The 9,648-nt window shown below is 53.0% G+C and overlaps 2 protein-coding genes across 19 annotated transcripts in view, besides 6 other annotated features; one reads left to right on the forward strand and one right to left on the reverse strand.

Moving 5' to 3' along the window:
- Positions 106–205: a silencer, noted in NCBI's record as "silent region_807". NCBI's record gives its function as "represses an Ori minimal core promoter by ATAC-STARR-seq in GM12878 lymphoblastoid cells {active_cell/tissue: GM12878}" and the evidence as "EXISTENCE:reporter gene assay evidence [ECO:0000049][PMID:35858748]".
- Positions 603–897: an enhancer, noted in NCBI's record as "tiled region #23; HepG2 Activating DNase unmatched - State 1:Tss, and K562 Activating DNase unmatched - State 1:Tss". NCBI's record gives its function as "activates a minimal TATA promoter and a strong SV40 promoter by Sharpr-MPRA in HepG2 and K562 cells {active_cell/tissue: HepG2 | K562}" and the evidence as "EXISTENCE:reporter gene assay evidence [ECO:0000049][PMID:27701403]".
- Positions 636–875: an enhancer, noted in NCBI's record as "active region_937". NCBI's record gives its function as "activates an Ori minimal core promoter by ATAC-STARR-seq in GM12878 lymphoblastoid cells {active_cell/tissue: GM12878}" and the evidence as "EXISTENCE:reporter gene assay evidence [ECO:0000049][PMID:35858748]".
- On the forward strand, positions 797–7,999 carry DMAP1 (DNA methyltransferase 1 associated protein 1). Of its 3 annotated transcripts, none has more exons than NM_001034023.2 (11): positions 797–853; positions 1,035–1,184; positions 1,676–1,767; positions 2,029–2,224; positions 5,637–5,795; positions 5,914–6,081; positions 6,382–6,567; positions 6,732–6,803; positions 7,132–7,204; positions 7,343–7,635; positions 7,885–7,999. In NM_001034023.2, the coding sequence occupies exons 2-11, from the start codon at positions 1,080–1,082 to the stop codon at positions 7,942–7,944; spliced, it is 1,404 nt and encodes a 467-aa protein (NP_001029195.1). In that variant the 5' UTR covers positions 797–853; positions 1,035–1,079; the 3' UTR covers positions 7,945–7,999. The 3 variants fall into 3 exon arrangements, with proteins under 3 accessions (NP_001029195.1, NP_001029196.1, NP_061973.1); NM_001034024.2 differs by having other exon boundaries at positions 1,075–1,184; NM_019100.5 differs by having other exon boundaries at positions 797–1,184.
- Positions 1,641–2,142: an enhancer, noted in NCBI's record as "H3K4me1 hESC enhancer chr1:44679987-44680488 (GRCh37/hg19 assembly coordinates)". NCBI's record gives its function as "activates a minimal SCP1, AML or CMV promoter by ChIP-STARR-seq in naive H9 embryonic stem cells {active_cell/tissue: H9 hESC(naive)}" and the evidence as "EXISTENCE:reporter gene assay evidence [ECO:0000049][PMID:30033119]".
- Positions 2,143–2,642: an enhancer, noted in NCBI's record as "H3K4me1 hESC enhancer chr1:44680489-44680988 (GRCh37/hg19 assembly coordinates)". NCBI's record gives its function as "activates a minimal SCP1, AML or CMV promoter by ChIP-STARR-seq in naive H9 embryonic stem cells {active_cell/tissue: H9 hESC(naive)}" and the evidence as "EXISTENCE:reporter gene assay evidence [ECO:0000049][PMID:30033119]".
- Positions 8,130–8,179: a silencer, noted in NCBI's record as "silent region_808". NCBI's record gives its function as "represses an Ori minimal core promoter by ATAC-STARR-seq in GM12878 lymphoblastoid cells {active_cell/tissue: GM12878}" and the evidence as "EXISTENCE:reporter gene assay evidence [ECO:0000049][PMID:35858748]".
- Positions 8,396–9,648, reverse strand: part of ERI3 (ERI1 exoribonuclease family member 3) — a 134,210-nt gene continuing 132,957 nt past the window's right edge. For all 16 annotated transcript variants that reach the window (XM_017002305.2, XM_047430152.1, XM_047430144.1 and 13 more), the window contains one exon: positions 8,396–8,966. In XM_017002305.2, coding sequence (XP_016857794.1) covers positions 8,884–8,966 — 83 coding nt within the window. In that variant the 3' untranslated portion in view covers positions 8,396–8,883. The remainder of the gene's footprint in view (positions 8,967–9,648) is intronic.

The raw sequence follows: 9,648 nt of genomic DNA on the forward strand, positions 1-9,648 counted from the left end.
TGCTTTCCTTGTCCCTTGTGCCCTTCCTCAGGACCTCCTGTCTCTCTCTTTCCAGGAAGATCCCCAGGTTTATTCCCTTGAGGGATACTTCTAAGCTGGTTCCTGCTTGGGGCTGTGTTTTGGGCTTCTTCGTAGCCCAAAGAGTGCAGCTAGCTCCTGTACTAGTGAAGTGCCACGAAGCTGGCCTCCAGGAAATCCCCACGAGGCCACAACCCACAGCTATCTCCATCAGAGGAGGTGCAAATGAGGGCCCACACCTTACTCCATTTTGGCAGCCGCCCTAGGAAGCTCTGCCTTTATTTCTTCATCTTCAAGCTTATCACAATTTGAAGTTTATCTCTTCACCTCCAAGCTTAGCACAGTGCCTAGTACATATTAGCACTTAATGAAGAGGGGGCAATTCAAATCATTAACTCATTTAATAAAAAAATAGTAAATGTCCCACGCACCGTGCTAATGTTTTACAAGGATTCTTGGTATTTCATTTACACAGGTGCCATTACAATTTCCATTCGGCAAATAAAGAAAAAGGTCCAGAGAAATTAAGTGACTTCCCAAAGTCACAAAGTTCTGGTATCTCTTCACTGCCTGAGACGCAACGGAGCATCGTAGAGGGAAAATGCCAGAAAGCAGGCAGTGCACCAATGAAAACAGGCTCGCGGGAGAACCAAAGGGTGGCAAGCTCAGCACGGCCAGTAGCTTTCACCCTCGGTTGCCAGTCGGCTTCGTTTCCTACAACACCGACCGGAAGTGTTTCTGTCGGCCGCGTTCCGAATGAGCACCGCCGGAAGTTTCTGCCGCGGCTTTGCGGGGACGGGGGAGTGGTAGTGGGGGCTGCAGCTGCCGGACCCAGGTGCGGAAGTGCGAGGGCCCAGGTGGCTGAAGGGGCCGTTAGGAACATCCAAGCGGTGGGGCACAGGCAGATCCCCGACCTGACCTGGACCACCCTTCTCCTCTTGGCCCGCCCCTTCAACTCGCCTCCGCTTAGGTCTGGATTGGCCCCGCCCCCTGACCTGAGCCTGGTCCTTCTTCAGGCACTGACCCTTGACCTCCGGTGGCTCCCCCATCTCTCAGGCGCGATGGCTACGGGCGCGGATGTACGGGACATTCTAGAACTCGGGGGTCCAGAAGGGGATGCAGCCTCTGGGACCATCAGCAAGAAGGACATTATCAACCCGGACAAGGTAGCAGGGGCACCTGAAAGCGTTGACTAGGGGAGGGTAGGGGAGTGAAGATGGGGAGGAGTGACAACGGGCAAGGGATGGGTGCTACACTTACAGTGAGTTGGGCGATAAAAGGGGTGACATAACAGGACAGGGAATATGTGTCATCCTTGATGGGAGGGAGGAGATGGGACATCGTGGGAGATGGTGGGACCAAGAGGGTATGACACCTCTAAGAGCTGAGAGGACCAGGCAAGTGTGATTTTTGCAAGATATTGTTGGGGAGAGATCAAGACATTGTAACAGTCTGAGAGTTGGTGGGATGGGGAGGGGACTGCTCTGATTTGGGCGTAGGATGGTGTTCCTGGGAGTGGGTTTCTGTGCCTTTACAGTGTGTCAGTTTGCCTGTCATTGACCCTGTAGGTGCTGCTTTGTTCAGGGATTGAGCTGGACTAAAGAATTTTCAGGAAAGGGTCTAGGTTGTGGTTCCTTTCTGTGGTTTCCTTCCTCAGAAAAAATCCAAGAAGTCCTCTGAGACACTGACTTTCAAGAGGCCCGAGGGCATGCACCGGGAAGTCTATGCCTTGCTCTACTCTGACAAGAAGCAAGTATTGGAGTCCCAAGTCCCCCAGGTTTTGGCCCCTGATTCACCTGCCATGCCCCTAACTCCTAGTTTTCTCTAACAATTTTCTCCTCCCCAGCAAGGGCTCCTGCTTGCTTAGCAGGATGCAGGAGGACCTGAAGTCTTTTGCTCCAGGACATGACTTTCTTGCTATAGGGTAGGGTAGATCAGCTCCCTGGGACAAAAAGCTCTTTAACACACCTTCTGATTCTAACCTCGCATCTCCCTAAACCTCCCTGCCAGGGATGCACCCCCACTGCTACCCAGTGACACTGGCCAGGGATACCGTACAGTGAAGGCCAAGTTGGGCTCCAAGAAGGTGCGGCCTTGGAAGTGGATGCCATTCACCAACCCGGCCCGCAAGGACGGAGCAATGTTCTTCCACTGGCGACGTGCAGCGGAGGAGGGCAAGGACTACCCCTTTGCCAGGTTCAATAAGGTAAGCTACCTTCATTCGGACACAGGCCAAGATTGCCCTCCCACTTTGAGCCATTTGTGCGAGCTCTCCAGTCTCCTAGGGTTGGTTCTGGGGGCACGCTTATGCCCAACTGTGATTACCCACTCAATCCTCGTGGCAAATGCATGCAGAGTAGGACTCTGTGGGTCTTTTCTGCCCAAGGGATCCTGTTCTTTCCCGGACCTGCTCTGGTTTTTCATGGCTTTTCTTGGTCTTTCAAATGTTGCTGTTCCTCAGAGCTGTATCCTAGGTGCTCTAGTCTTCTTGTTCTCTACTTTCTTAGTATGAACCCTGTGGCTTCAGTTACCCTCTCTACAAGTCACCAATCCAGAGCAGTGCTTCCTTCGCATCCAGTCATTTACTAATATCTCTTTCTCAATGCCCCACAGGTACCTTACATCAGGTAGGTACCCTGAACAGAGCTCATCATCTTCCCTCTGTCAGTCCCAAATCTGTTCCCCATCTCAGTGAATGGCACTATCTTCCACCCAGTTGCCCAAACCAGAAACTTGGGGGATCGTCCTTGACTTAGTCTTCTCCCTTAGTCCTCACAGTATTTAAATCAACAACAGAACAAAGAAGGTAGGGGAAAACAAACAACAAACATGTAAGGAAATAAATTGGAGTCTTTCAAATAAGAGCCGTCAGTAACACGAAACCAGGATTTGAATGGATATGAAATGAGATAAAGAGTGAACTTGTAGGTGTAGGGGAGTCCTACCTTAGGTTGGTCAGGGAGGGTCTGAGAACGTGGCATTTGAGCTGGATGCCAGTGATACATCTATTTATTGAGTCCTGTTGATTCTTTTTCCATAATAAATCACATCTCTGACTATATTCTTCATCACTATGCCAGCCCCCTAGTCCAAGCTGAGTTACCTGTGTAGCTCAGCACAGCACGGCCTTCCCAGACTCACCCATTCAGTGAGAGGCAGAGCTAGATTGGGCTAGGTTTCCTAGTCCATTACTTAAGTCATTGTACAGTGTGGCCTCACAGCTGCTGCGGCCTGGAATAGCCTAGACTTAGATCCTAAAAGCCTCATTTACCTCTTCTCTAACCAATCTTTGTCCCTGGGCTGGAGTGTCACTTGTTATACCCTATGTATCAAACTTCCCACACGGTACCAAAATTGTTTTTTCAGCTGCAGTATGAGCTTTGAGAGGCTAGGATCCCTGCCTGTCATATGCAGCACTGTGTCTCCAGCATAGGTATTGCAGCCCCATGGTAAATATTTGTTGAATGAATGAAAAAATGTCTTCCTCACTTGACTATGAGCTACTTGAGAGGACTGGCTGCACAGTTCCTGAGGATTTTTTTTTTTTCCTTCTTTGAGACAGGGTCTCTTTCTGTCTGCCAGGCTGGAGTGCAGTGGTGTGATCTCAGCTCATTGCATCCTCCACCTCTAGGGCTCAAGCGATCCTCCCACCTCACCCTCCTGAGTAGCTGGGACCACCGGCATGCACCAACATGCCTGGCTAATTTTTGTGTTTTTTTAAGAGACTGGGTTTCACCATGTTTCCCAGGCTGGTCTCAAACTCTTAGGCTCAAGTGATCTGCCCACCTCAGCCTCCCAAAGTATTGGGATTACAGGCGTGAGCCACCGCACATGGCCCTGAGTTGTTGGTTTGTTTGTTTTTTAGTTAAATTGAATTAAAATGCATAGGAGAAATATGTAACCAAACCTGGGAAACCAGAGAGACTTCCCAGAGGAGATGATGCCTGAGAGCTCGAAAGGTTGAGAAAGTTACCTAGGTAGAAGGAATGTGGAAGTGGAAGGCATTTCAGGCAAGAGCAGAGGTCAAGGGGGAAGTCTGCTATGTTCTAGAAACTGCTAGTCATTTGGCTGCAGTTTAGGGTTCATGAGGGACAGTGGCTGCAGGAGGAGGCCAGGTCATTTATTTGTATGTTCATTAATTGATTTGGTAGACACTGATACATACAGTGTGCTGAGTCCTAAAGGTGCGAGATGAACTGGACAACCCTTGCTCTTCAGGAGTTTGTGAATTATCTAGAAGATGCTTTATCTTAGATGGAGAGCTTCTGAGGAGTTTAATAAGGGATAGTTGGGGGTAATGATAAGATATATATTCTAGAACACTAGGACAGTGTGTCTCAAATCATCTGTGGTGAAGGACATTTTTCTATTTTATTTCTAAACCATCAGAGACTGATAAAGATAATAAAATTATAAAGACAAAATACAAGTCCATGTTTCTTCATATTAGATTCAACAGCATACAATTGCTGTAAAATTGTTACGTAAGTTTTTCAGTGTGTACTCTCAGTTTCCATTCTCATCATAGACCAGGGGTAAGTGTAAACAGCACTGGTTTGCAGACTATCCTTTAAGTAGCACTGTTCAAAGAGATCACGTCTTAGCTGCAGATGGAGAATTGATTGGAAGCGGATTGAATGTGGGCAGAGATCAGTAGCGAGGCTATTTCTCTGATCCAGGCATGTGACAGTGGGTAGGCCGACGGAGAAGTGGCAATGGAGACAGAAATTTTGGAGGTAAAAGCCACAGATTTGGTGAAGGGGAGGAGTCAAGGGGAAAGATAGGAATTAAGATGCCTCCCAGGTTTCTGGCTTGAGCAGCTGGGTTGGGTGATGGTGATATTGACTGAAATCTGGACTGGAGAAGATAATGTTTGAGAGAGGGCCATGAGTTCAGTACTGAGCTAAGTTTGAGGTTCCTTGGGGCCTCCAGTAGGAGATGTCCAAAAGGCGACCAGTTTTGGAGCTGGTTGTGGTCTTTAACTGAGAAGAGAGACTTCCCTGATGTAGTCTAGCACTGACTCCTTCCTTGGGTCTCTGACAGACTCAGCTCGTGGTAGTGCTATTTGTCTCTGGGGGAGGTCTGTGGAAGAAGGGAGGAAGGGGCATTGGCAGGGCTGCGTATGTTGGTAGTAGGATTCAGGCCCAGCTTCTGTAGAGATGCCTGACCTTGGCAAACTCTGGGGGAGTGGCAAGTCCCACTGTGCCCACTGGGTGGCAGTAGTGCTTCAGATGAGTTGTATGGACTAGGGGTTGCTGGGCCTTTCTCCAGGTAATTAGCCATCTGTCCTACTCCAGAGTTGACCTTTGGACTCCACAGAAGCACTTACATGTGGGCCCCTCACCTTAACTATGGGGGCAGGAGTGTGTGTCCCATGACTGAGGCTCTGGAGCTGGAGACAGTGAAGTTGATCCTGGAATAAATCAGAGGCAGGCTACAGTCCCAAACCCTGCTAGGACCTCTAGTCAAGCAGACAAGTTCTTTCCTCACTCCATGCTGCAGGGGCACAGGCCCAGGGTCTGGCAACAAACAGGAGCAGCTGTGGTCACTGGGGCCTGGAGCCTGCTGGACATGACATCATGCGGGCATGCCCCTACTGTGTCCCTCTGTGCTAGTAGACTGTGCAGGTGCCTGTGTACTCGGAGCAGGAGTACCAGCTTTATCTCCACGATGATGCTTGGACTAAGGCAGAAACTGACCACCTCTTTGACCTCAGCCGCCGCTTTGACCTGCGTTTTGTTGTTATCCATGACCGGTATGACCACCAGCAGTTCAAGGTGAGCCATTGTGTATTTGCATGGGTGCCCAGCTTCTGGGTCTAGCAGGCCCTACTTTTATGCCATCTCTTCCACATGCCCCTGAATGTTCATTCCTCTACCCTGTCTTGCTCCTCAGAAGCGTTCTGTGGAAGACCTGAAGGAGCGGTACTACCACATCTGTGCTAAGCTTGCCAACGTGCGGGCTGTGCCAGGCACAGACCTTAAGATACCAGTATTTGATGCTGGGCACGAACGACGGCGGAAGGAACAGCTTGAGCGTCTCTACAACCGGACCCCAGAGCAGGTAAGCCCAAGGCCACATACCTGTCCTCCATGCCCCAAACCCCTTGCTCATTGTCTCCATCCTCCATCCCCTCAACTCCCACTCCCAGGTCCCCCTGCCTCCCACTGATACCTTATTAACTGCCCCAAGCCCATTCCTACTTCTCATGGGCCATCCCCCCTGCTTTTCATAGCCCTTCACCTCCCTCATGATCCATTACTTCTCAGATTCCCTCACAGACAGCCCAGCACCCTGTCACCTCCGTGTCTACCCTCACTCCTAGAAGTGCCCTCACACACTTCGCATCCCTCACTTTCCCAGGTGGCAGAGGAGGAGTACCTGCTACAGGAGCTGCGCAAGATTGAGGCCCGGAAGAAGGAGCGGGAGAAACGCAGCCAGGACCTGCAGAAGCTGATCACAGCGGCAGACACCACTGCAGAGCAGCGGCGCACGGAACGCAAGGCCCCCAAAAAGAAGCTACCCCAGAAAAAGGAGGCTGAGAAGCCGGTGCGGAGGTTCCGCCAGCCTAGCTCAGGGTGGAAGGGTCACCTGGCACAAGGCCTCACCCCGAGTGGAGGGTTCTGAGAGTACCCAGTGCTGATGGGGTGCTAGGACTAACCCTGGGCCCTCTCCCTGTGACACCTTGGTCTCCATAATGCCTTCTCCCCCAGGCTGTTCCTGAGACTGCAGGCATCAAGTTTCCAGACTTCAAGTCTGCAGGTGTCACGCTGCGGAGCCAACGGGTACGTGAGTCACCTCCTTTAGCAAGTTTGGGTCCTGGGCTCTGCTCTGGGCTCCATGTGTCCCAAACGCTGCAGGCAGGTGGGGATGGAGCAGTAGGAGAGATTGCTGCAGACAGAGGTGGCCTTGGCAGGATCTCAGTGATGTGGCCAGGCTAAGGTCATAGCAGCTTTCACTATATTCAGCTTCCTGGCTATTTCCTTTTCTGGCCCATAGTTAACCTCCATGTGTTACCGTCTCTCTTCCACCATCTTTCCCTCTGCCTTTTGTCCCCTTCATCCTAAGCCTCTTGTGGCTGGGACAGGCTTAGCTTGCCAGCTTTCATTGCAGATGAAGCTGCCAAGCTCTGTGGGACAGAAGAAGATCAAGGCCCTGGAACAGATGCTGCTGGAGCTTGGTGTGGGTGAGTGTGGGGACTGGGCCCCATAGGGTGTACCCACCCGAGGCTGTGGATATAGGTTGGGCAGGGGGAGGGGAGTTCACATTGCTGGCCCTCTACCACACCTGGGCTCTGCCCGTGCTGCCTGCCGCCTGCCTGCAGAGCTGAGCCCGACACCTACGGAGGAGCTGGTGCACATGTTCAATGAGCTGCGAAGCGACCTGGTGCTGCTCTACGAGCTCAAGCAGGCCTGTGCCAACTGCGAGTATGAGCTGCAGATGCTGCGGCACCGTCATGAGGCACTGGCCCGGGCTGGTGTGCTAGGGGGCCCTGCCACACCAGCATCAGGCCCAGGCCCGGCCTCTGCTGAGCCGGCAGTGACTGAACCCGGACTTGGTCCTGACCCCAAGGACACCATCATTGATGTGGTGGGCGCACCCCTCACGCCCAATTCGGTAAGAGTCTGGACAGGCTGGGAGGCACGCCTGGGCCCTGCGAGTGAGCACATGCACATGGGTGTAGGGGCTCCTCTCCCTCTAGTGCCTGCAGCAGGAACGATCATCACTTCTGTGCGAGTCTGAGACTGAGGGTAGGAGTGGGTTGACCAGTGGGCGTCCTTGTCCCTGAGCGTGTGAAGCACATGCACTAAGCCTGACTCAGGCCTTGGGGGGTCACTGACCTCAATGCCTTCTGTGTATCCTCAGAGAAAGCGACGGGAGTCGGCCTCCAGCTCATCTTCCGTGAAGAAAGCCAAGAAGCCGTGAGAGGCCCCACGGGGTGTGGGCGACGCTGTTATGTAAATAGAGCTGCTGAGTTGGACCAGGCTGCTTCCTTTTCCTTTCCTTCACTTCTGATGCCCCTAGTGGGAAGGGTGGGCAAGGAGGGGATTGTCACGGCCACTCCACAGCGTGGCAGATAGGTTTGCCTGTGTTCAGGCCCTTAGCAGCTCTCTGACCACTAACCACTACCAGTTTCACCCAAATTCCTGCACCTCAGAGCACCTGTGGTTTACACTCAAGATGGCTTTGCACACAGCTTGTACTGATAGTCGCCGCGCTTACACAGATGTGTGCATATTGAGTGAGGGTGTCACAGGTGCTGCAGTGACGGCCAGTCACACATGGATGGCTTTGTGCACAGAGGCAGTCTGGAGCATGCTCTACCTACCTTCACATCCTGACAGCTTTGGCGCAGCAGCAGCCTCACACACACAGATGGCTTTGCACACACACCCAGTGCCTCGTTTCCCCGACTTTATTCAGTGGCACGTTCACAGCGGGGATGGGGGTAGACACAAGGTGGGGCCTGATCTGTCCTGGAGCCCTGGGGGCACCACACACCATGCACTATGGATGGGAGGGGGCACAGGAGGGGCTTGGTGGCCCCACAGAAGCCTGTGTACCAGGGAGGAGGCGGTGAGTGCCTGGGTCCCCCTAGCCCAGGCCCGCAATGGGAGGGGCTGATACTGGGCTGAGATTGAGGGGTGGGGATGGGGGGCACAAAGTGTCTGCTCCAGAAGGGCCAAGTGGCCAAGCCCTTGCAAGGGCACAAGCCCACGCCAAGGGCATGAGCCCACAGGGCAGCTGGGGACACTCTGGACACAGAGCTATGCCACTCTCCCTCTTCCCCTCTGGTGAGGGAGAGGAGGATTCTGGGCTGGGCCAAACAGCTACCCTGTCCTGCCCCATCCTGTCCTCGGCCAATCAGAACGGCTTCGATGTCTGCTTGAAGATGAAGCCTCGATAGGCGAGTGTCTTCATGATGTTGGCAATGTTCTTGCAGTCGTCTAAAAAGGAGAGAAGACATTTAGATCAGCCCCAGATCCTTCCCCTCCATGCCCACAGGTGCTCTTACAAGGGTGGGGGTGGGAAGCAGGGTCAGATTCAGGAGACACAGGCTTTAGAGAGGGTGGTCCCATCCCCTGGTGGCAGCATTCCTAGCTTCAGGTTGGTCTGGGTGATGCTGGGCCGGCAGGAAGCCTGGTCTCGATGCTTCTCAGTTCCATAATTCATGCTGGAAATTGGCCGGCATGTCCCGCCCCAGCCCCAGCGGTGATGTATGGGCGCCGTCGCAGTAAGAAAAAGGCAGAGTAAATGTGTAATTTCTCCCTTGACGGCCCCCGGCCGCTGGGCGATCCTTCTTGTTGCTGCCGCGTGGGGACGGCCCGTCCGCCACACTCCGTCTTCCCGCCACCCGCCTTGATGTCTCCATTTCATTACTGTGCGACCATTCATCACACCCATGGCCAGGGTGACTTTGCCGGCACTTTCGTGTGTGTGGGAGATGTGACCCAGGCCATAATCACTAGTGACAAGGCACAAGGCTTGGCACTGCTGGGCCAGGGCCCTGGGAAACACACCTGCCCTGTGTCCTGGGCTTGTGTGCTCAAACAGCAGCTTGCCTGGGCACCTGTTCCTGTGGAGCTCCGACAGGATGGGGAGGGTCCAGATTTGTGGTCCTCCTCTTAG

This window comes from Homo sapiens, chromosome 1 (genome assembly GCF_000001405.40).
Source record: "Homo sapiens chromosome 1, GRCh38.p14 Primary Assembly".
In the NCBI taxonomy this organism is placed as follows: Eukaryota; Metazoa; Chordata; class Mammalia; order Primates; family Hominidae; genus Homo; species Homo sapiens.

Excerpts from the sequence above, each read along its gene's own strand:
- DMAP1 (NM_019100.5), top strand. The coding sequence starts at position 1,080 with ATGGCTACGGGCGCGGATGTACGGGACATTCTAGAACTCGGGGGTCCA. Across the intron at positions 1,185-1,675 it reads ACATTATCAACCCGGACAAG|AAAAAATCCAAGAAGTCCTC; the intron begins GTAGCAGGGGCA and ends TTCCTTCCTCAG. Across the intron at positions 7,205-7,342 it reads GCTGCTGGAGCTTGGTGTGG|AGCTGAGCCCGACACCTACG; the intron begins GTGAGTGTGGGG and ends GCCTGCCTGCAG.